Here is a 26,947-nt window from a genome sequence, read left to right on the forward strand (position 1 = left end):
TTTGGGAGGCTGAGGTAGGCAGCTCACAAGGTCAGGAGATCGAGACCATCCTGGCTAACACGGTGAAACCCCGTCTCTACTAAAAATACAAAAAAATTAGCCAGGTGTGGTGGCGGGTGCCTGTATTCCCAGCTACTTGGGAGGCTGAGGCAGGAGAATGGCATGAACCCAGATGGCAGAGCTTGCAGTGAGCTGAGATCGCACCACTGCACTCCAGCCTGGGCGACAGAATCTCAAAAAAAAAAAAAAAAAAAAGTGTATGTTGCTGTGGCCCAGCATTTCCATTTTATGAATCATGTAGAATCTGATATTTCCAACAGAAGAGTGTTCAAGGATAGGGTCTGGGTTCATTCGGTGGAGCTGGTTTAGTTTAGGCAAGCCACATTCCTTTCCCAGGTAAGTGTCTCATTTCTTTGTTTGTCATCTATCCCAGGGCTGCATGTTCCTCTGTGTTTTCGGCCTTCCTGGTGATAAGAAGCCAGACGAGTGTGCACATGCCCTGGAGAGCTCCTTCAGCATCTTCAGCTTCTGCTGGGAGAATCTTGCTAAGACCAACTGAGGAGGAAGGTGGGGCAGAGAGGAGCTTCTCAGGCCCCAGGGGCTCTTCAGGCAGGGTAGGAGGCAGTAACAAGTGGCAGGGATTCAAGTAGTCCAGAATCTGCCTAACTCGGAGGGAACATGCTAAGGAAAGTGAGCAAACAAGATCTATTAAGAAATCACTAGATACAGATCTCTGTACTGGATACCCAGGGGAAATAAAGATACATTCCCATTCAGCGGGTCAGGAAAAGGGGAGAAACAGAACAGACATACCAAGATTCGAGAACACTGCAAGGGAACAAGCAAATGTGTAAATTAATGTGATGCAAATAACATGCCTGTGGAGAGGATGCAGAATAAAGGCTGCCTGTCTACGAGAGAGTATGAGAGAAGTTGTGGAGAAATTACCTAGATAGAAAGGAACCACAGCTGGTTAGCACTCTCTTGGCTTTCATTCTGGGTCTTTCCCAGATCTTATTGCTTTTTCTGGACCTTACACTGAACTGATCTCCCTCTTCCACATCCACGCCTCACCCAACCACCTTTCACAAAACCTAACCCAGATGAAGGTATAGAAAAATCTATTTTCCCACTAGTTGCATTATGATAAAGTTTGTTGGAAGTTTTCAATTGACTTTTTAAAATAGAAAGCTATGGAGAAAGTGTATACATGAATGAATTTTAAAAATAGTTACTTCCAATGTTAACATCGAATCAGATTGGTTTGCTTGCCACAACTTATTCAAAATGGATAAAAATTATATCAAACATGTACATAGTACTTTAACATTTATAGAATACTTTAGTATATGCTACCAATGTGAAAATTTGTATCCCTCTTTATTTTTTACTTTTTTTTAGAGACAGAGTCTTGCTCTGTTTCCCAGGCTAAAGTTCCGTGGCACAATCACGGCTCACTGCATCCTCAACCTCATCCTTCCAAGTAGCTCAGACTATAAGCACACGCCCCACACTGGGCTATTTTTTTTATTTTTAGTAGAGACAAGGTCTTGCTGTGTTGCCCAGGCTGCTTTCGAACTCCTGAGCCCAAGCGATCCTCCCACCTCGGCCTCCCAAAGTGCTGGAATTATAGGTGTAAGCCACTATGCCCAGGTCCTCTTTTATACATGAGGAAATAAAAGTCACAGAAGAGAAGTTACTAGCATATAACAGAGCTTGTAATGAAACCCAGATCTTCAGTCTTCAAATCCTGTGTTGTTTCATTACTTATCCCCCACCTGCCTCTTATAAAATGCAAATGCTCCCCCAAAAGAATAGAATATGCTATTAATGTGATATAATTATAGATACACGCTCATAGAATGTTACTATTGGAAAGGAATTTAGAGATTATCTGATCCAAGCCTTATTTTAGAGATAAGAAAGATGCTACAGTTGCTTAATAGATACTCAGACTCTGCCCAAGGCAAATACATGTTAACACTTCTTTCAGGTTTGGTGGGATCTGCAGATACTCCTATATCCTACCTCCCAATCTTATCTCCAGGGTGGAAATGCTGGGCAGTATTAGTCAGGGTTCTCTTAGAGGGACAGAACTAATATATATATGTATATATAATTATATATATTATATAGAACTAATATATATATGTAATATATATTATATATAAATATATATATATGTAAAGGGGAGTTTATTAAGTATTAACTTACATGACCACAAGGCCCCACAATAGGCTGCCTATAAGCTGAGGAGCAAGGAGAGCCAGTCCGAGTGCCAAAACTGAAGAACCTGGAGTTTGATGTTTGAGGGGAGGAAGCATCCAGCATCGGAGAAAGATGCAGGCTGGAAGGCTAGGCCTGTCTCGCTCATTTCACATTTTTCTGCCTGCTTTATATTCACTGGCAGCTGATTAGATTGTGCCCACCAGATTAAAGGTGGATCTGCCTTCCCTAGCCCACTGACTCAAATGTTAATCTCTTTTGGCAACACCCTCACAGAAACAACGCAGGATTAATACTTTGAATCCTTCAATCCAATCAAGTTGACACTCAGTATTAACCATCACATGGGCCATCCCTTCCAGTGCTGGTCTGTTCTGTTCTTGAAGTTTGTATTGACCTATGGCCTTCAAGGTCCCACCCTTGGCCCTTACTCTTAAAAGAGTCATTTCTTTGTCCTTTAGAGACTGTCTTAAAATTCCCTTAAGAATGCCTTCCATCACTCTTAGGCTGTAACTTGGTCATTTCCATCTTATTTAGTTTAGAATATAATAGATGTTAAGAACTAGATGGGGTATTAGAGTTCATCAAATTTGACCTCTTTAAAGAAACTAAGATCCAGAAAGGTTATGCTGGTAAGCCAAACAGATGTCAAAGCCTCAAAGCTAGGTTTCAAGGTCAGTGATTTTTCCCTCGAAGATAATTACTAATTCAATATCTCCCAAAGTGTGTTTGGTAGAATGTTATTACTCCCTTAATATGCTCATGAAAAAAGAAAAGATTTTCATCACCAAATATGTTTGGGAAGTGATGCAAATTATATTTCCTTCTTCAAGGTTCACAATGAACATTAACATATCAAAGGTTCTGAGTAGTGCTATGGGAAAGAAATTTGTTATATTTAGTTTTAGTCAGCATTTCCCAAATTTACTTGGTCATCAAACACTTTTCTCCAGAAAGACCTATAAACATCCAGAGGAACTAATGTTCTAAGGAAGATATTTTTGGAAATGCTGAGCAGATGCTAAAGCTTCAGAGGTACCTACGTGGCCTCGGTAGCAGATACCATTGCTCATTTCTCTCTGCATTACATGAGCTCTCAGACCCAAAACTACTTTCCATGCCTTCTTTTTCAAAGACCCTGTTCACCTTGAGATATCCTCTGAATTCCTCTTCCTAATCTGAGAAATAGCTCCAGCTTTTAGCTCATTTAGAGGAAAGATGATTCCATGCATATTTCTTCAGGATATTTTTGAGACATAGGGAGTGCAGTCTCAGAATATCATTATTATGGTTTTTCAGTACCAGAAATACTTTATATACAATGACATATATCAAATAAAGAGTACATTCTTTATCAATGCAGAAAGGTTTTAAAGGAAAGAAGGAATATGGATTGCCGGGAAAAACAAGGAGGAATTATAAAGTATAATAGAAAGAAATAAGAAATAACTAAGTGATAAAAGTATTATTTGTTCATTATTGACTTGCTAATAGCTGAATTTCTGGCATGCATAAATGCATTCATTCAACAAGCATTCCTTGAACACAGTTATGAGCCAGGCACTGTGCTAGGTGCTATGGACATAAAGAGAAATAAGATTTTACCAGTTCAGCTAAGTAAACAACTAACTTTAATACAACGAAATTAAAGTGCAGAAATAAAATGCTACAGGAGTTACAACAATGTGCTATGGGAAGAAGTGGTTAATTCTCCACAGAGGTACCAAAGAAATCTTGACTATAAAGATGACTTTTGAGACAGGTTGAGAAGAAAAGTAGTTCAGCAAATGGAGAAGGTGGGAAAGGGTATTTAGGCAGAGGAAGCATCATGAAATTTTAAAAGATTTTCAGTCTTGCTCTTCATATGGCAGCAGAACTGACAGCATGGTCTTGTCTTAAGTGTCTCTTTTTTTCACCCTGGGGGCAGTGAGCTGAGTGAATGAATGGTAAGAGACTTTTTTTTTTTTTTTTTTTTTTTTTTTTTTTGAGACGGAGTCTCACTCTGTTGCTCAGGCTGGAGTGCAGTGGCACAATCTTGGCTCACTGCAACTTCTGCCTCCCGGGTTCTAGAGATTCTCCTGCCTCAGAATCCCTCAACTGGGATTACAGGCACACACCACCATGCCCACTAATTTTTGTATTTTTAGTAGGGATGGGGTTTCACCATGTTGGCCAGGCTGGACTCTTGAACTCCTGACCTCAGGTGATCCGCCCACCTCAGCCTCCCAAAGTGCTAGGATTACAGGCATGAGCCACAGCACCCAGCCAAGAGCCCTTAATCCTGTCCTTTGAGGAAGACAAATAATTTTGATGGCTTAGGAGGTAATAGTGTTAACATGATTGCTACTTCTCATGTTGTCTGAACCACTGAAAATTGTTTATAGATTTAATGTGACTATGCCTCATTGCATAATCTTTCTCCACCTACATATCTTGTTACCTGTCACATGAAATTTTCATGTCAGTGAGTAAATCTACTTATTTTGTTATGTATGAGTTGCTCCTTGCCACCTTTGGGCTTTTGCCTCACCTAGAACAGTATATGTCCTCTTTTAAAATAATTCATATGTCTAATACTCTTCCATCCCTAGAGAGGTGAGACTACTTCTCCCATTACCTCTCTCTAATCCAAACACCTCTCTTCACATCTGTGCTCTAGCCGTCTTGAAGTACTTAGTTTTGCATGACCACACAAGGCATCTCAAAGCCTTTACCTTTTCCCACCAGACAGTACCACTCCCCCACTTTAGCAATTTCTTCAGCTTTCAGGGTCCGACCAAATGTCCTCTCCTTTAAGAATACTCTATCTACTCTTCAGTGTGAATTAGTGCATCTGTTCTGTTTGCTCTGCTAATGTGCTATATCAATCTCTAATATGGAGTATTTGTCTTGCTGACATATATAAGTATCTCTTCCCCTCCCTCAAACCTACCACCCTCCTCCCCAAACTTAACTTCTCTAGGGCAGGATATTTTAAACATCCAGCCAAGTACTCAGTACTATGCACACTTCTCAGTGCTTAGTGAATGAAATGAATGTATGTATGCATTAATGAATTTTTAAAATATTACTCATTAAAAAAAATTTGTTCCAAATGTTAATTTACTTCAGAAAGCCTTCTGTCTGCAGTCCTGACATTCTGATCACTCCTTAACTGTGACATTCTAGCATTATTTGATCTATTAATCCTGTATTGATATCTCTTTATCTACTTTCATTTTTCAGTTTTATCTGAGACAACATGGTATAGTAGAAATAATATCAGTCTAGGAGGCAAGAGGCCTGGATTCTCATTCTGACTTACTGTTCGTTTTTGCTATATAACTCTGGGAAAGTTAATTAACCCCTTCAATTTTTTTTTCTCAAATGGTTTTTAAATATTTGCCTTACCACAGATGTAAAATTTTTTTTTTTTTTTTGAGATGGAGTCTCACTCTGTTGCCCAGGCTGGAGTGCAGTGGCACAATTTCCACTCACTGCAAGGTCCGCCTCCTGGGTTCATGCCATTCTCCTGCCTCAGCCTCCCGAGTAGCTGGGACTACAGGCGCCCACCACCATGCCTGGCTAATTTTTTGTATTTTTAGTAGAGACAGGGTTTCACAGTGTTAGCCAGGATGGTCTCGATCTCCTGACCTTGTGATCCACCCACCTCAGCCTCCCAAAGTGCTGGGATTATAGGCGTGAGCACCGCACCTGGCCCAGATGTAAAATTTTTAAAAATCTTTTACTGGCCAGGTGTGGTGGCTCACACCTGTAATACCAGTGCTTTGGGAGGCCAAGACGGGTGTATTGCTTGAGCCCAGGAGTTTGAGACCAGCCTGGACAACATAATGAAACCCCATCTCTCTCAAAAAAAAAAAAAAAAAAAAATTAGTTGGATATGGTGGTGTGTGCCTGTAGTCTCAGCTACTTGGGAGGCTGAGGTGGGAGGATCACTTGAGCCCAGGAAACGGAGATTGCAGTGAACTGAGATCACACCAATGTGCTCCAGCCTGGGCAATAGAGCAAGACCCTATCTCAAAAGAAAAAAAAAGAAAGAAAATCGTTTACTAATAACCCCCAACTAAAACTAAAACTCCTGAATTAGGGGAACCATTCTGTTTCTTTTGGTTCTCTCCCTAATATTCAGTACTTTGTAGCCCTCATGTTATATAGACTGACAGCAACCTCTGGCCTTTTCCATTCTAAGCTCTAAAACTAGACTTCTGGATCTGGGGAGTGGCAGATCTAGTGCCTGACTTGGAGGCTTCTGACTGTATGTTTATCCATTGTTGCTTTTCAGATCCCTAGATTTGTTTCCATCAGTATCACTAATGGACCAGTATTCTGTGGCGTGGTTGGAGCAGTAGCAAGACACGAATATACAGGTAGAATAGGACATTGGACTGTTATCTTTGTGACTTAAGGGAGGAAGGTGGAAGACATGGCCCAAAAATTCTCCACCTGTCTTTCTGACACAGTTATTGGCCCAAAAGTGAGTCTTGCGGCCAGAATGATAACTGCTTATCCAGGTTTGGTGTCCTGTGATGAGGTAACATATCTAAGATCCATGCTACCTGCTTACAACTTCAAGAAACTCCCAGAGAAAATGATGAAAAACATCTCCAACCCAGGGAAGATATATGAATATCTTGGCCACAGAAGATGTATGTGAGTATCATTGTGTGATAGTTTCATTCTCATCTCTTACAGAACAATAAGTTTTTGATTACATGAAATTGGAAAAAAAGATGCTGCTAGTACTGGCATGCTGGAATAAGACACACAAAAGGAGTGTTTAGTGTCTGAGAGATTTAGCTTTTATGTTTAGCTCTTAGCTAGTTCTTCAATGAACATCCTTTTCTCCTACAGGAAGAGAATAGCAATAGGTCACTAACCCAGATCTTCTTTGTTCTTTTTTTCTTTGTGTACTTCACCATTCATTTACTTCCCCGAGCCTGGAACAATCAATAATATTCCCTCTTTACTCCCTCTCCCCCAAAATTTTTAGTTTTTAAAAACCTTTTTATTCAGAACTCTGTACCTCCTTAATTATCTGAAAGTATTTGCTTATGAAGACAGCTGTTCCTAATCTATTTTTAACAGATACATTTCACTTTGTTCTTTTTCCCAGAATGTTTGGAAAAAGACATTTGGCAAGAAAGAGAAACAAAAATCACCCTTTGTTAGGTATGTTTTCTTTTGTAACTTAAATCATATTTGTTTCAGTTATAGACAGCTAAATGTGATTTAAAAAACAAAACAGTGCAAGACTAAATGCTCTTAAGCTTTATTAAAAAATAGAGAGCAACCTTCTTAGTGAAATTATATTTATTTTGAAGAGGATTTACTATTTCTTTTCCATGTCAAATATTCAAATTTCAGGTGAAGTCCTATAACTGCCTGAGAAACACCAACATTTAGTAATAATCTTTGTAAGTCAGAGTTTACCTATTGAGATCGGAACAGCTTATTGTGGATCATCTTTAGAGAAAAATTCATAATCCTTAGAATAGTGAAAATAGCACCAAGACTGTTGTCACCCACGCTATATATTCCCTATCTTTGTATTTATTTTAGTCTATACTTATTAGTCCATTACTTTTACATAGTAGTGACAGATTTTGAAGACTAAATTGTTATTAAGAAAATTTTTACAAAAAGCTAAGAGACACCCGTGTCCACAAGGTGCCTAATTTTTCTGAATGTTACTACTTAGGCTCTGGAATAAGCCCTCAAGACCAGCATATATTAGCTCAGAATTGATTTTTTGGAAAGAGATATGAAGCCCCATCAATGAATGAGATTCTTCTGGGAATTCTGGAGGAAAAAAGCCATTCTGAGAGTTAGATTTGCAAATTGATTCAAATCAATAGAGTATCTACCAAAAAGCCTGCAACAATCAATAATGTTGATTATTGTTATCCAGGAGTGTTAGGTGCTCCCTGTCTCTCTACAGACTGGGAGAAAGAATTGGAAGCCTTCCAAATGGCACAGCAAGGGTGTTTGCACCAGAAGAAGGGACAAGCAGTTCTGTATGAAGGTGGAAAAGGCTATGGAAAAAGCCAGCTGTTGGCTGAAATAAACTTTCTGGCACAGAAAGAAGGGCATAGGTAAAAACTCCTGCTTTCTGACTTAGTCAGAGCCTACTTCTCTTGGGGCCTCTTTCTCTTGTTAGTGAGACTCTTGTGTCATTAGATTCAGCATTCTTGGACCGGTGAAGTTAGTAACCTATGTGTCGTACAGGGGACTCCTGATGACCATAGTCATATTCACCAGGGTGTTGCCATTGATGCTGAAGGAAGCAGATTCCAAGCAGTGCTTCTATGCCATCCAGACCCTCATGGCCATCTTCTTTGAGATTGATACATGCCCAGCCTATTACCGGCAAGAGTGCCTACAAAGACAGCTTTGTGGGATAGTGGAAGAACAACTTCACTGCCTTTTTAGTGACCTCTTATTTGTGAAGGTAATGAAGGCAGTGGCTTTCTGAATTGGGTTACTGTTATATTTTGTGGATAGTCAGACCTAGGATTGTTTTCTAATCTAATAACCTGAGGATATACATATACATATATGGTAGGACCAAGATGTGAAATTCTTTCAACACCAAAACTCAGGCTTTCTCCTTTTGAGGAGAGTGAATTCTAGTATTGAACCTGACACTTAGTAGTTTTATGTCCTAGAGCAAATCACTTAGCCTCTCTGAGTCATAGCTTTTTCACCTGTGAAATAACAATTATATTACTGTATGTTTTTATGTGAATTTTAAAGGAGATGGTATATGAGAGATTGCATTGTATATTTTAAAGTACTAAATACATTAAGGTGGCCCTCACCAGTGGCATATCCCCAGGAATTATATCCACGTGTTCTTGAGTTGGTTCCAATTTCTTTATTTTTTTAACCCTACCTTCCTGTTCCCTTACCACAGAATATATCATTTGAAACCAGCATCTGGATCTCAAAAGCCTTCAGAGGTCTAGGGTTTATGGGGTTTCCAGTAGTGAACAAGCTAAAAATTCACTGGTCCACAATTTGTTTTATTTATCCTCTGTCACTTCTCCTAATCTACCCACCCTGCAGAGTATTTTGGAATGGAACACTAAGATCTGTCTAATCCCTCAACATATCCCTCTCTTAAGATAGGCCTTGCTTGGGACTCTAAACCCTTGCCTACGTAGATTAGCAGTCATCTCACTTTGGCTCTCAGGTTCCTGATAGTTCATGTGCCTCAGCCTAGCACAGGAAACAATGTTATGTGATGTGTGTTGCATCTTGTTCTGACAAGTCTCATGTACAGATTCATCCTGGTATACTTGGAATAACTGGGGTACTGGAGCTGCCCAAACTGTCATTGCTAAGTTCAACCTGTCATTTACTCCTTAGTCATAACCCTTTAAGGGTTTTACTAGAGTCTGGTATGGAAAGGAGATAGATATCTGTCTCTAACCCTTCATGAATTTCGAGGTTGGCTCCCCTAAAGTGGTCATCTCTAATGTGCAATCCCTTACTTACCTCCCTGCAGCTACCCTTCACAGGTGCTTTGGAAACCCACTTTATTGTGAGGTCCTATGCCAGGACCTTCTCTCTAAGGACGTGTTGCTCTTTCATGTCCTACAAAAGGAGGAAGAGGAAAACAGCAAGTGGGAAACCCTCTCAGGTAAGCTTAGCTTCCCAGAGTTCTACCCTGGTCCAGCTGCTGAAGCTCATTCTCCAACATGACATTACTTGGCCTTTACGAGGTACATACCTTTTCCTTGCTAACATTGTGGGCCACACTAGGCCTTCCCAGATAAGCACACTGTACAAATCTTATACAAGTAGGGTGAAAATACTCAAGATTTGCTTCAGATAACTTAATCCAATCAATCTACAATAGTTCCTTTTATAAGCAGCCCAAGAGGTAGGGCTAGGAAATTACGATTTATAAACATGAAAGTCCAGAAAAAAGAATTGTACACTATTGATGAGAAGGATGACTTGAGGATTTGGATGGGGGATGGGAGAAGGGAGGAAATTAGGAGAGGAATAAAGGGTAGAAGTATGTATAAAAGCAGAAGGCATCCCAGAGCTGTGATGTAATAGAAGCAAGAGCTGTTATAAGGTGAACAGGAATAGTGATTAGTTGTAAGATACCGATTGGTACAGAGAATGTTGTTAGTTTATAAGAGAAAATTAGAGAACAGGCAGACAGGTGGGGTAAAACACTTTAAACCATGGTACACTCCAGTCATCTTCATCCTTTAGGTTTTTTTTTTTTTTTGACTAAATTATTATATTTTTGTGCCTTTAAAACTACAGTCACTGAGAATGGTGCTTTCCTCAGTCATAGCCTGTTTTCTTTATAGCCAATGCCATGAAATCCATAATGTATAGTATTTCTCCTGCCAACTCTGAGGAAGGCCAGGAACTTTATGTCTGCACAGTCAAGGATGATGTGAACTTGGATACAGTACTTCTCCTACCCTTTTTGAAAGGTAAGTCCCTTGAAGACTTCAAGTGAACCAATTACAGATATCATTGCAATTAGTGATTTGGTGAGTAGTTGAGTATAGGTCTCTCATTATCATTCTGGCTTCATTTCTTCTAAAAAAGAAATCCACCTTCTAGAAATAAGTTCTGGCATTGCCTGAAGAGCTCTTTGAAGACTTGTAATGCTACTTGAGTAAGGTTTTACTTAAGCGAGCTTATTGTTCTCTTTGGGGCTGACTGATGACCTGGAAAAGTTTTCCAATTATTTAATACAAAATAGGTCGTGAGTTTCCCTTTGTGCATATTCTTGTTCCAGAGTAGACAGTAAGCAAAGAAGATGATGTTGCTAAGATTTAAGAAAATCCATGGTGTTAGTGAAGATACAATGTTATGCACATAGCAAGAGTTTAATAAAAAAAGAGTGCAAAGTAGAATGACTGATGCCATAAAGAATAATGAAACTATCAGAATCAGGTAGGCATAGTTGGAGAGGGGATGTTCTTCTTAGAAATGAATTTTTCTTATTTTAATATTTAATTCAAGTGTTTGGTGGGCAAGGTACTAATACTAAGCCTTCTTGAGGAATATTGTAATGAACAGCATACCTTCAAGTAAAGTATGGTCTTGTTGAGAAAATAAGACACACACATGAAACAGCAGTTCAGGACACCATGGTAGTTAAGGGCCAGGGCTCTAGAGTCAGAAAACCCTGGGCACCATGGGCTCCTGCACTAACCAACTATGGAACTTTGAATAAGTTAGTCAACTTCTCACTCATCAGTCAAATGAGGATAATAATAGTCCCTACCTCTTGGGGCTAGTTGAGGATTAAATTAAATAAATTATGGCACATAATAAATATTCCATGACTGTTAGCTATTATATTATAAGCTTTTTACTCTGAAGGTTTTAGGTTCAACTAGACAGTTTACACTGATAGAACTATGATAGACCATACTTAACAATGGCTTTTCTTACTCAGAAGGAAATACAGGATGCTAACAGGACAACAGCAGGTACTTTTCTTCAGTGAGAGTTTTTACAGGAGTTTACATAGCACTCCAGGGGCTATTCTCTGGAACCTCAAGTAATAGCTCAGCTGTGAGGAATGAAACCATGACTCATGGGTGCTTAGAGGCCTCATGGACCAACTGAAGGCCATATCTCTTATAATGGCCCGAACAGGCATCACTTTCAGGCTCTGCAAGAGGCATGACCTTTTACAAGAATTATTATACCCAAGGAAGCCCAAATCTGTGGCTTGCCACCAGTTCATTCAGTTTTCCCAGTCCAAATTCAGTTTCCCAAGCAGAGGTTGTTCTTAGCATAAGCAAAGAAGTTTGGCTAAGTGGAGAAGGGAGGATTGAGGTGGGAGCAGTAGACAGGGGTAGATGAAAAGTTTTCATCTTTATTTAAAAAAAAAACTGTACACATTTTCAACATGATATATTCTAGATTTGTAGAAATCTTGTTCACTGCTGATTGACTGATTGATTGATTTTGGCAGAAATAGCAGTAAGCCAACTGGATCAACTGAGCCCAGAGGAACAGTTGCTGGTCAAGTGTGCTGCAATCATTGGTCACTCCTTCCATATAGATTTGCTGCAGCACCTCCTGCCTGGCTGGGATAAAAATAAGCTACTTCAGGTCTTGAGAGCTCTTGTGGATATACATGTGCTCTGCTGGTCTGACAAGAGCCAAGAGCTTCCTGCTGAGCCCATATTAATGCCTTCCTCTATCGACATCATTGATGGAACCAAAGAGAAGAAGACAAAGTTAGGTAAGGAAGGGCTGTTCCCTTTTTCTCAGGTCTGAACAAAGAGTCCCTGTGGGGGTATCTGTGTTCAGAAAGGCCATCAATATCATATATCAAGGGGTTCTCTCATTCGTTTGTTTAAAGATGGAGTTTTGTTATGTTGCCCAGGCTGTAACTCCTGGGCTCAGTGGGCGCATACCACCACACCCAGTTTGAGGGTCTCTCTCTCAAAGCCTATGGCTAAGAAACAGAGAGAAAATTATCATTTAAACCATGAAAGAGCCATGGATAGTGAAAAAATATCCTGTATTTTCAGACTTGTCTTCATTTCAGGAATTCTAGCGCCTTTTTAACCCAGGTGTTGGTATTTGTGTTTTGATTTTTGGTTCTGAAAATATTGACATAATCTTTTATTGGCTTCTAGGTGCAAAGAATGAGATAAAAGGATAAACCATCCCCAATTTTAGAAACTCACAAGGAAGACAAACACATGTGGCATTGAAACAGACATGAACAAAGCAAGATATAAATAGCTTGCAATCTCGAATTATCCACATGAAAGAATAAGATGGTAGCATGGACTACCCAAAGCACATAGAATTCACAAATACTTTCCCTTTGAGTTTGAAATATGTTTGGGCCCTATATTTGAACAGAGAATTTCCTATGATTTGACATTTGTAATAATTTGAAGTAAAACCTCAATTTAGGAGAAACAATTAAGAAATCAGTGGTAATCCCAGCACTTTGGGAGGCCGAGGCGGGCGGATCACGAGGTCAGGAGATCGAGACCATCCCGGCTAAAACGGTGAAACCCCGTCTCTACTAAAAAATACAAAAAATTAGCCGGGCGTAGTGGCGGGCGCCTGTAGTCCCAGCTACTTGGGAGGCTGAGGCAGGAGAATGGCGTGAACCCGGGAGGCGGAGCTTGCAGTGAGCCGAGATCCCGCCACTGCACTCCAGCCTGGGCGACAGAGCGAGACTCCGTCTCAAAAAAAAAAAAAAGAAATCAGTGGTATAGAAGTACAGGATTTTTTTGTACCACTGATCATTTCTTCTCTGTTGTACTTTATACAAGATATGGTCAGTATCACTCTTAGAATGGTGCAAAATTTTTTATACAAAGGAGGCAGTAATATTAGCTTAGAGTTGTAAATAGAATTTTCTTACACACTAGCAGCCATGTGCTTGGGAGTTTGCCATATTGAAGCACAAAGGATTATAAAGGAAAATCTCACTTAGATTTTCCTAAATTTCAGATGGTGGGTCAGCCTCTCTTCTCAGGCTACAAGAAGAATTATCCCTACCACAAACTGAGGTGTTGGAATTTGGAGTGCCTCTGCTACGGGCAGCTGCTTGGGAGCTCTGGCCCAAGGAACAACAGATAGCTCTGCACCTTGAATGTGCCTGCTTTCTCCAAGTTTTGGCCTGCCGCTGTGGGAGCTGCCATGGAGGAGACTTTGTCCCCTTTCATCATTTTGCAGTTTGTTCTACTAAGAATTCCAAGGGGACCTCTCGATTCTGTACTTACAGAGATACTGGCTCAGTGCTAACACAAGTGATCACAGAAAAATTGCAGCTGCCTTCTCCCCAAGGTAAACCCAGGAGGCAGAAAGAATACATGGGTATTCGTGTACTTGGAGTTCTTCATCAAAAAGTTGAAATCAGATTAAAGGAGAAAAGTAGGTAGAAAGAACCACTTATTTATTCCTGAAGTACTAGAGATTAAAAAAAAATGTAATCTCAGAGTTAAAAACTACCTTAGAGATCATATTTGTTTTGATTGGCAATCTTGGGCAAGTTACTTAACCTCAATCAATTGGGGACATAATAATACCAACTTCATGGGCTGGGTGCAGTGGCTTACACCTGTAATCCCAGCATTTTGAGAGGCTTAGGTGGGTGGATCACTTGAGGTCAGGAGATCAAGACCAGCCTGGCCAACATGGTGAAACCCCCTCGCTACTACAAATACAAAAATTAGCCAGGCATGGTGGCAGGCGCCTGTAAACCCAGATACTTGGGGGTCTGAGGCAGGAGAATCGCTTGAGCCTGGGAGCCAGAGGTTGCAGTGAGCCGAGACTGCGCCACTGCACTCCAGCCTAGGTGACAGAGTGAGACTCTGTCTCGAAATAAATAAATTAATTAATAAATAATAATATCAACTTTACTGGGTCATTGTGGGGATTAAATTAGTTAAAATATATAGTGTGCTCTGAACAGTGCCAGACATGTGGTGATTGCTCAATACCCTTTAGCTATTGTTTTGATTATTACTATTATTTTTCAGCTCAGTACACACACATTGAGTCCTTATGTGTATCAGATTCTATACTAAGGAATATGGTGTGAATAAGCCTTGGTCTTTGCACTCTTGAAGCTATCTGTTTTGGGGGTTACTATAGACATATAGATAGAGAATTCTAGTATGGCATGGTAAAAGCAATGAAAATGAGAAGGGGCCATTAACTCAGCCAGGGAAATATGTCAGTGAAGATTCTCCTTTGAAGTAGATCATGTCAGAATTGCATCTAGAGGGATAAGCAGGAGTTAGCTACCTGAAGAAGGTTTTATTAGTTAATAGATATTCACCATATCCTGTTAAACTGCATCCCAGATGAGTTCATTCATCTTTGTTTAGCCTTTTCAGTTAGCTTACATTACAGAACAGCTCATTGTCTCCAGCTGTCAGAAAGTTTCTTCTTTCATCAGGATGTAAGCTGCCTCGTTGTAGTTTCCCCCATTTTTCATAGTTATATTCTCTTCCATACTTGAAGATAGCTATCAAGACCCAACCAAGTCCTCTTTCCCTACTTTGATAAAAGAGGAGTTGGTTTGGTATTGGGGGTGGGGTGGATGGTATGTGGAAAATGATAGATAGTTGTTGGCAAAAGGCTAAAATGAGGGATTTGGTGTATGATACAATTCCTCTTCTAGCTATAGCATCATGACTATGAAGGTGGACCAATGACTTGGAGCAATTAGTCATTGGTTGATGAGCTCTATGTGCATTTGCACCTGTTGTGCTTTCCAAAGTCTGGTATTGTGAAGAAATTGTGCTATTGTTCATATTTCCTGTGTGACTTTTTTGCTTTTAAGAGGTCAGTTTTGGCCAGGTACAGTGGTTCACACCTGTAATCCCAGCACTTTGGGAGGCCAAGGCAGGCAGATAACAAGGTCAGGAAATCGAGACCATTCTGGCTAACACGGTGAAACCCCATCACTACTAAAAATACAAAAAATTAGCCGAGCGTGGTGGCAGGCACCTGTAGTCCCAGCTACTCGGGAGGCTGAGGCAGGAGAATGGTGTGAACCTGGGAGGCAGAGTTTACAGTAAGCCAAGATCGCGCCTCTGCACTCCATCCTGGGCTACAGAGCAAGACTCTGTCTCAAAAAAATTAATAAATAAATAAATAAAAAGAGGTCAGTTTTGTTTATTTATTTATTTATTTATTTTGCTTTGGATTAGACAGCCTGGTCCATCTATAGTAAAAAGGCTCAAGACCTTCTCAGCCCAGCAGAACCTTAAGGAGGCTTCCCAGACCCAAGGCCTTTGTGCATTGCCATTGCAGACCAGGCACTGCCTGATTCCAGAGGGTACTGTTACAGAGGCTATGATATGATGGTGCCTCTTGGAGTTATGTACTGCAGTAGAGCTGCCAATATCCTCAGTTATCTTAGCTGTGATTTAACATTATTATCATCAGCAAGCCAGTCCTTTTACTTAACCCAAATCCTCCCTAAAACAGTCCTCTTAGACTCCTTATCAATCCCACCATCCATGCTGTGAGTTCCAATGGGTAACATCTGAACATCATTCCTAATATTTGCTGTTGTGATCTATTAGAAGGCAGCTTTAGAAGAAGAGTCAAATCTTTAGGATAAAGGCTAATTAAAAGCCTGCTAGGTAAAGCTGGAAAGCTCTCTTGGTCACTGACTAGGGAACTGTGGTATCTTATACTGTCACAATTTTCTTCACTTGGTTTTAGCCTTTACACTTCACTCCGATCTGGTCATGAAATTGATCCATATGTATTCAAGGATTTCCACTATTAGTGATAGCCAGCAAACCAGGATAGACACATTCTTTATTTTTCCTTCATTTTGAAACTACTGAGCACCTCCTTCAAAATCAGAACTAGTTTAAAGGTTTGGGAATGAAGAGAGTTATTATTTGAATCACAAGTAGTTGTGAAGGAATTTACAAACTACCATCCTAATTTTGTGTTGTAAACTGCAGAAGAAAGGTAGTCAGGAATTTAAAATGTCCTCAGTTCATCCAAACATGGAGAATTAATCATATTTTTTTCTCCCTACAGATAGTTTTCAGTTCCAGACAAAACCATCCAGAACTCAGGAGGCCTTCTCAAGTGAATGCTGCAGGTAGACAGAGATGCTGAGGGTGAACATGGAGGGACCAAAAGTGACAGAAAGATGACCATTAAACTGAGCCACTTATGTCACTTGCAGATGAGGAGTGGTGACTCTTGTACTCAGTATTAAGGTTAACAGAGAAGATTTGGAAAGGCAATTTTTGATTCTCTATAGGGAAATTATTTCTTTTTTTTTCTTTCTTTTTTTTTTTTTTTTTTGAGATGGAGTCTCTCTCTGTTGCCCAGGCTGGAGTGCAATGGCATGATCTTGGCTCACTGCAACCTCCGCCTCCCGGATTCAAGTGATTCCCCTGCCTCAGCCTCCTGAGTAGCTGGGATTACAGGCATGTGCCACCACACTTTGCTAATTTTTGTATTTTTAGTAGAGATGGGGTTTCACCGTGTTAGCTAGGATGGTCTCCATCTCCTGACCTCATGATCAGCCCACCTCAGCCTCCCAAAGTGCTGGGATTGCAGGCATGAGCCACCACACCCGGCGGGAAATTATTTCTTTTTATTTTATTTTATTTTATTTTATTTTATTATTATTGTACTTTAAGTTTTAGGGTACACGTGCACAATGTGCAGGTTAGTTACATATGTATACATGTGCCATGCTGGCGTGCTGCACCCATTAACTCGTCATTTAGCATTAGGTATATCTCCTAAAGCTATCCCTCCCCCCTCCCCCCTCCCCCCACCCCACAACAGTCCCCAGAGTGTGATGTTCCCCTTCCTGTGTCCATGTGTTCTCATTGTTCAATTCCCACCTATAAGTGAGAATATGCGGTGTTTGGTTTTTTGTTCTTGCAGTAGTCTACTGAGAATGATGATTTCCAATTTCATCCATGTCCCTACAAAGGACATTAACTCATCATTTTTATGGCTGCATAGTATTCCATGGTGTATATGTGCCACATTTTCTTTTTTTTTTTTTATTTTTTTTTATTTTTTTATTTTTTTTAATTTTTTTTTTTATTATACTCTAAGTTTTAGTGTACATGTGCACATTGTGCAGGTTAGTTACATATGTATACATGTGCCATGCTGGTGCGCTGCACCCACTAACGTGTCATCTAGCATTAGGTATATCTCCCAATGCTATCCCTCCCCCCTCCCCCGACCCCACCACAGTCCCCAGAGTGTGATATTCCCCTTCCTGTGTCCAAGTGATCTCATTGTTCAATTCCCACCTATGAGTGAGAATATGCGGTGTTTGGTTTTTTGTTCTTGCGATAGTTTACTGAGAATGATGGTTTCCAATTTCATCCATGTCCCTACAAAGGACATGAACTCATCATTTTTTATGGCTGCATAGTATTCCATGGTGTATATGTGCCACATTTTCTTAATCCAGTCTATCATTGTTGGACATTTGGGTTAGTTCCAAGTCTTTGCTATTGTGAATAGTGCCACAATAAACATACATGTGCATGTGTCTTTATAGCAGCATGATTTATAGTCCTTTGGGTATATACCCAGTAATGGGATGGCTGGGTCAAATGGTATTTCTAGTTCTAGATCCCTGAGGAATCGCCACACTGACTTCCACAATGGTTGAACTAGTTTACAGTCCCACCAACAGTGTAAAATGTTCCTATTTCTCCACATCCTCTCCAGCACCTGTTGTTTCCTGACTTTTTAATGATTGCCATTCTAACTGGTGTGAGATGGTATCTCATTGTGGTTTTGATTTGCATTTCTCTGATGGCCAGTGATGGTAAGCATTTTTTCATGTGTTTTTTGGCTGCATAAATATCTTCTTTTGAGAAGTGTCTGTTCATGTCCTTCGCCCACTTTTTGATGGGGTTGTTTGCTTTTTTTCTTGTAAATTTGTTTGAGTTCATTGTAGATTCTGGGTATTAGCCCTTTGTCAGATAAGTAGGTTGCGAAAATTTTCTCCCATTTTGTAGGTTGCCTGTTCATTCTGATGGTAGTTTCTTTTGCTGTGCAGAAGCTCTTTAGTTTAATTAGATCCCATTTGTCAGTTTTGGCTTTTGTTGCCATTGCTTTTGGTGTTTTAGATATGAAGTGCTTGCCCATGCCTATGTCCTGAATGGTAATGCCTAGGTTTTCTTCTAGGGTTTTTATGGTTTTAGGTCTAACATTTAAGTCTTTAATCCATCTTGAATTAATTTTTGTATAAGGTATAAAGAAGGGATCCAGTTTCAGCTTTCTACATGTGGCTAGCCAGTTTTCCCAGCACCATTTATTAAATAGGGAATCCTTTCCCCATTGCTTGTTTTTCTCAGGTTTGTCAAAGATCAGATAGTTGTAGATATGCGGCGTTATTTCTGAGGGCTCTGTTCTGTTCCATTGATCTGTATCTCTGTTTTGGTACCAGTACCTTGCTGTTTTGGTTACTGTAGCCTTGTAGTATAGTTTGAAGTCAGGTAGCGTGATGCCTCCAGCTTTGTTCTTTTGGCTTAGGTTTGACTTGGCAATGCAGGCTCTTTTTTGGTGCCATATGAACTTTAAAGTAGTTTTTTCCAATTCTGTGAAGAAGGTCATTGGTAGCTTGATGGGGATGGCATTGAATCTATAAATTACCTTGGGCAGTATGGCCATTTTCACGACATTGATTCTTCCTACCCATGAGCATGGAATGTTCTTCCATTTGTTTGTATCCTCTTTTATTTCATTGAGTAGTGGTTTGTAGTTCTCCTTGAAGAGGTCCTTCACGTCCCTTGTAAGTTGGATTCCTAGGTATTTTATTCTCTTTGAAGCAATTGTGAATGGGAGTTCACTCATGATTTGGCTCTTTGTCTGTTATTGGTGTATAAGAATGCTTGTGATTTTTGTACATTGATTTTGTATCCTGAGACTTTGCTGAAGTTGCTTATCAGCTTAAGGAGATTTTGGGCTGAGACAATGGGGTTTTCTAGATATACAATCATGTCATCTGCAAACAGGGACAATTTGACTTCCTCTTTTCCTAATTGAATACCCTTTATTTCCTTCTCCTGCCTAATTGCCCTGGCCAGAACTTCCAACACTATGTTGAATAGGAGTGGTGAGAGAGGGCATCCCTGTCTTGTGCCAGTTTTCAAAGGGAATGCTTCCAGTTTTTGCCCATTCAGTATGATATTGGCTGTGGGTTTGTCATAGATAGCTCTTATTATTTTGAGATACGTCCCATCAATACCTAATTTACTGAGAGTTTTTAGCATGAAGGGTTGTTGAATTTTGTCAAAGGCCTTTTCTGCATCTATTGAGATAATCATGTGGTTTTTGTCTTTGGTTCTGTTTATATGCTGGATTACATTTATTGATTTGTGTATATTGAACCAGCCTTGCATCCCAGGGATGAAGCCCACTTGATCATGGTGGATAAGCTTTTTGATGTGCTGCTGGATTCGGTTTGCCAGTATTTTATTGAGGATTTTTGCATCAATGTTCATCAAGGATAATGGTTGAGAAAAACTTTTTTAAAATACCTTTTTTTTTGAGATGGAGTCTCCCTCTGTCACCCGGGCTGGAGTGCAGTGGCACCATCTCGGCTCACTACAACCTCCACCTCCCAGGTTCAAGCAATTCTCCTGCCTCAGCCTCCCAAGTAGCTAGAATTACAGGCATATGCCACCACGCCTGGCTAATTTTTGTATTTTTCGTATACATGAGGTTTCACCGTGTTGGCCAGGCTGACCTCAAACTCCTGACCTCAGGTGATCCGCCAGCTTCAGCCTCCCAAAGTGCTGGGATTATAGGCGTGAGCCATCACACCCAGCATTTTAATAGCTTTTAAGTGCATTTTATATGTAGCATATTTATTTCCAGCTATAAATTTGTCTTGTTAATTATTTTAGCCCAGATGATATTAAAATGAATATACATTTCCTAACCATGTACCTCCTGGGTCTCTAATGCTTATCAGTGTTCAATGTCCCTACCTGGAGTTCACCAGCCACTCTATATACAGTTTTCCATCCCACTTATCTAACTTGATTTCTTATTGTTTTCAAACAAAAATCTATTCCACATGAACCACTCCCACACTAACCTGTGTGTCTTTGCTCACACAATTCTCCCTTGTTAAATGCTGAGTGACCTCCACATCTCTCTACCTATTAATATGTTGACCATCCTTCAAGGCCCTCCTCAGTCTCCACTTTTTTAGATCATTATAACTCAGAGAGATCTGACTTTTGAGCTCAGCGTGCCTGTGAAAAGTACACTAGATCAGTAGTCAGAGTGGTAAGCTCTAGTTTTGGTTTGGCTTCTCAATAGCTACGAAGCTATATGTAATCTCTCTGAGCCTCAATGACCTAAAAGAGGTAATTTTTGCCTGCCTGAATGACAGGGTTGTTGTAGGATTAGATGATGATATATAAAATAATATTAAAATGTGGTATTAGAAAATTCAAAAATGCTAACAGAAAAAATGTATTATTATTGCTTTGTATCATTTTTATGTTTTATTTAATATTTAGTTGTTATTTAACTATTCAAGTGTGGTATTTCCCCATTTAGATTGAGGTATTTAGATTGGCTTTCAGCTTTTAAAAATTCCTAATAGAGCTTTGCAGTTACAGCTGTAGTCCCTGACTTTTAAAATTTTATGGAGTAATGGAGGAGAAGGATAGGCAAATAATTAATGAATGATACAGGAAGACTTCCTGGAAAAAGTGACTTTGAGACCCGGTAATGCCCCAGTAAAGGTGGCCACTCTCAGTTTTTCATTTTCTTTCCACAAAGAACAGAGGAAGAGTTCCTAGATCAAGTGAAGAGGAAGCTGGCTCAGACCAGCCCTGAGAAAGACCTGTTGACCACAAAGCCTTGTCACTGTAAGGATATCCTGAAGTTAGTGCTCTTACCCCTCACCCAGCATTGCTTGGTCGTTGGAGAAACCACCTGTGCATTTTATTACCTGCTGGAGGCTGCGGCTGCCTGCTTGGACCTGTCAGATAATTATATGGTGAGCAGGCTCTGTAATCTGCCCTTCAGCTGAGCCTTTTACTTTGAGAATGTGATTGAGATCTCTTACAATCATAACCATGAGTGAAAAGTGGAAGAAAGTAGGAGAGAGAGAAGAGCTAGAAAGGATTTAGGAAAAAACATGCAGTGGGAATGTGGTAATGGAATAGCACCAACCTGTGCCAGCACTGCCCCTGACTCTTGCACAAGCAGTCCAGCTCCCGTTTCTAGCTTGAAATCCAAATCTGTTTCAAATTCTGATCTTGACCCTCATCATAACCTTACTCCAGCCTTTGCCCTAATCTCACCCCAGCATCATCCTAATCCTAATCTGGTTTCTTTATCCCTTGCCCTGTTTGGAGGCCTTCTTTTATTTGAGGAAGGCAAGCAGTCTTCTGGGCCAACCCTCAGCATTTTCATTTTTGAAAAAACAGAAGGTGAAGATCTGTCAGTTTGAGGAGGCCACTTTCTGCCGTCTTCTGTCAGAGGTGAGGGCAGGGAGTGACCTTGAAGTGCCGGCTATTTCTCCTTGAGGGTTACCCTATTATTTCTTTTAAAATCTTTTCATTGTTTTTTGTGTATGATTATAAATGTGATAATGTGATAAAACGTTTATATACATTTAAAATATAGAAATATGTAATAGGTAGAAAGTGAAAGAGCTCCCACTAATCCTACACCCACCACCATAATTAGTAATTGTGTGCATGTTCCACCAACTGTATACAAACAGCCATATCATTGTTTTCCATTTTTTTATAGGCTCATATTCTACATTTTCTTGCTCCTGCAGCTTGCTTTTATTCTTAATAGTACAGACGGAACATATTTACATTTTGGTATGCATACTGATCCACCACATAGTTACAACTGCCAAGTATTCCATTGGCTAGATCATAGCTTAGCTCTTCCCTTCTTCAGGTGCATTTAGGTTATCTCTAATTTGGGGATTATTATAAACATTGCTACAGTGAATATTCTTCTTAAGTATCTCTTTCTCCCCTTGTGAGAGTGTTTCTGTAAGAGAAATTTCCAAAGGTGGCAATGCTAAGACACAATTTTAAAATTCACAAATACACTACCAAATTGCCAGCCAAAAATATTATATCAATTCAAGTTTTTTCCATTTCCTCATATCCTTACTAAGATCAGATACTACCAGTCTTTTCTAACCTTGCTAATTCCTAGATAAAGTTATATTGTTTTAATGTGTTTCTCTTAATTAATAAGATACATCATTCTTCTAAGTTTATTGGTCATTTGTATTTTTTGTAAATTATCCATTCTTATTCATTGAAGTAGATATAAACTAATTTGCTCATTGGAGTATATGTAAACTAATTTTAATGTAAACCTTAAGATAATTGGGTTAGGAGAGTAAACTTAATGTACATAATGTCTTGAAGGCCAAAGGGAATATTAGAGTTGTCACATTGTTGCATTATTTATGCTTCAACCAAGAGGTCTTCAGAGCAAAGTTAAATAATTATTCTTTCCCTTTATAAGAGAAAGTTATTGTACAGTCCTCCCAAGATTGTTCTTTGTTCTAGAATCACGTAGACTTTATCACTTTCTTGAGGGATTCAGCCTTAGAATGTGAAGATACAGGATAACTTCAAGGTAGTTCCCCAGCTCCCACCCCACATCTACTATGATTCAACCTGTTTAGGAAGAGAGATAAAGGATTTGGTGATATTATAGATGCTTTCTATGTCATGTGAGAGCATCTGAGTCTCCACTCAAATGACGATCCCTTCTCAGTCTAGCAGCATCACATTTTAAATCACAGCCTTCCTCTACTGCCCACTGACAAATGTGTGGGAGATGAGAAGGGAGGATACTTTCTCCATAATCCTATTTTCTAAACCCTTTACTCACTTATGGCCATACTGGTGCTTGTTAGGGTGACTGCTAACCAGGCTATGCTCTAGCTCAGCTCACTCTAGCACCTCAGTAACCCCAACTACACATCTCAAAATGAAAGAGCCAGTGTGTTATATCCAAAACCTTATATTTACATTAATTCTTCTTTTCCCATCTCCAGGTCTGTTTCAACATGGGACGTATCACTTTAGCCAAAAAATTGGCTAGGAAAGCCCTTCGACTGCTGAAAAGGAATTTCCCTTGGACCTGGTTTGGTGTCCTTTTCCAGACATTCCTGGAAAAGTATTGGCATTCCTGTACCCTGAGCCAACCTCCAAACGACCCTAGTGAGAAGTGAGAAGTCTTCCTAAAACTGTAGTTAACTAGCCTGAGCTTTGCCTTTTTGACCTAAAACTACTCTTTTTCTATCAAGTAATCTTCAAGCATCTAACAGACAAGCAGATAACAAGACATGTAACAGTCAGCATACATATATATATGCATGTAACAGATAAGTGTATAACATACAGTTCTAACTCTTCCACCTTACTCCCCCAGCCAGTTACATGTAGCAAATAGGGATTCAAAGAATGAATCTTTTTTTGAAACCTCTCTCTGAACTTTTCCCGATCAAGTGGGATTAATCAAAATGGCATATGAGGTTAGGAGTAGTGGGATCCAAGGACTATTTCTGAATTTGAACATCTGTAGATGGCCCCATGATGAGTAGATTGGAGCTCTTATAGGGAGGGAACGTTGGGCATTAGTAAAGAATAAGGGTGTGCTAACCACCCTGTGCCTCACAACAGTAAGAAGAATTTGGCAGTCCTGCAGCAGCAGGTGCATTGCCTCTCCCTACTCTGGCAGCTCTATAACCTGGAGGCCACAGCCAGTAGCTACAGGTTTGCCTGCCTGGCTACTCTTATGCAGAAGAATTCAGCTGATGAGTTTGCAAATGAAGCCCAGGTAAGCAAGTCCTTGCTTTACCTTTGGACCTCACTCAGAAACCAAGTTCCTGGTTTTAGCATGATTCTCCAATAACCCAGACAACACTGTTCAAGCGAGGTTTCTCAATTTGCAGTTTATAGATGGGTTTCCAGGTATGAGATTATCTGCGAACTCCCTGAACTGAATGCAGAATTTTATGTGTATATTCAAAAGAACCTTTGGGGGTTGGCAGGAGGAAGAAAAGGGGTCATAGCTCTCATCAGATTCTCAAAGAAGCCTGTTATCTAAAAAAGATTTAAAACTGCTGACCTAGGAAAAAACAAAAGGAAATGTGTCTTCCTCATTTTAGTGTCTTATCTTTCTCTCTGTCTTATCCACATATTCAACAATGAACTATTTGGTGAACACCTATTATAAGCCAGGCACTGATCTTGACTCCAGGGAAATATAATAAGTAAAATATAGAGTATGTTAGGTGATAATCAATGCAGTGGAGAAAAATAAAGTGGAGGCAAGGGGATATGGGGTTCTGTGAGGTGAGGGGTGGGGTATAGTTTTGAACAAGGTGGTCAGAGAAAGCTTTGCTGAGCAGGTGACATTGGAGTAAATATCTGAAAGAGGCAAGAAAGCCAGGCTGTCTGGGAGTAGAGTATCCAGGCAGAGGGCACAGTGAATGCCCAAGGCATACACTCTGTGTTTGAAGGACAGTGTGACTGGAGGGGAGGAAGAGGAGGAGAGTGAACCAAGAGATGAGGTCAGAAGGACCAGGAAGGGGTGGGATGGCAAACGGTGCAGACCTTAGGCCACTGTAGGAGTTTTGGCTTTTACTCTGAAAGAGATGGGAAGCCATTAATGGGTTCTGAGAAGAGGGGTGACAGTATCTACTTACATTTTAATAAGATCATTCTGTCTACTGTGTTGAAAGTAACCTGAAGGGGACAAGGGAGGAAGCAGGGAGACCAGTTAGGAGGCTAATGCAGTAATCTAAGCAAGAGATGGTGATGGCTTGGATTATTGTGGTAGGGAAAAAAAAGTTGGGGGTGGTCTTTTGTCAAAATAGAGCCAACAGGATTCACTTATGGATCAGTTCTGGGATGTGAGGGAAAGAAAAGAGTCAAGGATAATCTGAAAAGTTGTGACCCGAACTTCTAGAGGGACAGAGATGCTCTTAATTGGGATAGGGAAGTCTGCAGGAGGAACAGATTTGGGGGAAGATTTGGGAGCTAGGCTTTAGACATGTTTTATTTGAGATGCCCATTAGACATCAAGGTGGAGACAAGTCTGGTGAATATGAGTCCAGGTGAATACTCAAGTCTGGGGTTCATGGGAGAGGTCTGAGCTGGAAATAGACATATGGGAACCATCAGTGTGCAAATACTGTTTAAAGCCACAGGACTGGGTGAGAACACCAAGGGAATGAGTATAGAAAGGAGAAAAAGTCCAGGAACTTTGTTAACAGCTCCAGTGTTAAAAGGTCAGAGTGGTAAGGAGAAACCAGCAAAAGAAACAGAATAAGTTGCCAGGGAGATAGGAGGAAAACCAAGAGAGCATGGCATCCTGGAAAGTTAGGGAAGACAGTGTTCCAAGAAGAGAGCACTATTTCAAGTGTGCACATAGTTATATAGAGCACTAACTATTTCAAATGTGCACATAGTTATATAGAGAGATCTAGGCAGCAGCCCTGAAGAGCTCTATGGAGCAAATATCAGAGGTCTTAAATTAGAAAACAAAGAAGAGGGAGTTTAATCAGTGTTTTGAAAGGGAAAGTCATGGATTGGAGAGGAAAAGCAGGAGCATGTAGAGAAAGTGGTTTGTTTAAAGAACATGCAGTGAGAATGATCCAATTAGAAGTGTAGGGGTGAGAAGGAGCATGTTTTTCTAGCTGGGTTGGAGGCAAGTGGTGGGATACCAGGAGTTTAGACTGGGTGAGCAGCAGGGCACCATAATAGGCTCTTACATAGGAAAGGATCAAAATGGAAATGTCACATGAATATACAATGGGAATATTTTGCCCTGTGTTTGTTTCCCTGCATGTTGTCTCTACCTATGTGGAGCTCTCTCAGTTCTCCCAGAGTGTGGGCATCAAGGACAAGTGGCTGCACTGTGAGCAGATGGCCATTCAGAAAAGCAGTTTATGTTGGTTCTCCAGGGAGGGGTTGTTGGCCACAGCTCAGCTCATGCAGGCCCTGGCCTACACCAAGCTCTGCCTTGGTCATCTTGACTTCTCCATCAAGCTGGGTAATGGGACTTAGGGATGGTGGGTCTAGGGCTTTTAGAGAGTACATGTTCACAGCTAGACCTCACATGGTGCTCTTAAACCTCCTCAGGTTTTCAAGCTCGTGAGATATGCAGACACCTCCAGAAACCAGCTCTGGAGAATCTGATTCTCTCAGTTCTCTTCAGATCTGCATTT

General features: G+C 40.3%; 1 pseudogene across 1 annotated transcript in view; it reads left to right on the forward strand.

The window, feature by feature from the left end:
* The window catches only part of ADCY10P1 (ADCY10 pseudogene 1), a 39,802-nt pseudogene that overhangs the window by 9,756 nt on the left and 3,099 nt on the right, over nucleotides 1-26,947 (forward strand). Inside the window, exons 6-20 of the transcript NR_026938.2 lie at nucleotides 434-567; nucleotides 6,509-6,593; nucleotides 6,687-6,876; nucleotides 7,340-7,395; nucleotides 8,135-8,318; nucleotides 8,452-8,674; nucleotides 9,734-9,868; nucleotides 10,557-10,685; nucleotides 10,997-11,154; nucleotides 12,188-12,460; nucleotides 13,696-14,031; nucleotides 16,756-16,819; nucleotides 21,505-21,724; nucleotides 24,396-24,552; nucleotides 26,568-26,772. The product of NR_026938.2 is annotated as an ADCY10 pseudogene 1 (transcript). The remainder of the gene's footprint in view (nucleotides 1-433; nucleotides 568-6,508; nucleotides 6,594-6,686; nucleotides 6,877-7,339; nucleotides 7,396-8,134; nucleotides 8,319-8,451; nucleotides 8,675-9,733; nucleotides 9,869-10,556; nucleotides 10,686-10,996; nucleotides 11,155-12,187; nucleotides 12,461-13,695; nucleotides 14,032-16,755; nucleotides 16,820-21,504; nucleotides 21,725-24,395; nucleotides 24,553-26,567; nucleotides 26,773-26,947) is intronic.

Source organism: Homo sapiens, chromosome 6 (genome assembly GCF_000001405.40).
Source record: "Homo sapiens chromosome 6, GRCh38.p14 Primary Assembly".
In the NCBI taxonomy this organism is placed as follows: domain Eukaryota; kingdom Metazoa; phylum Chordata; class Mammalia; order Primates; family Hominidae; genus Homo; species Homo sapiens.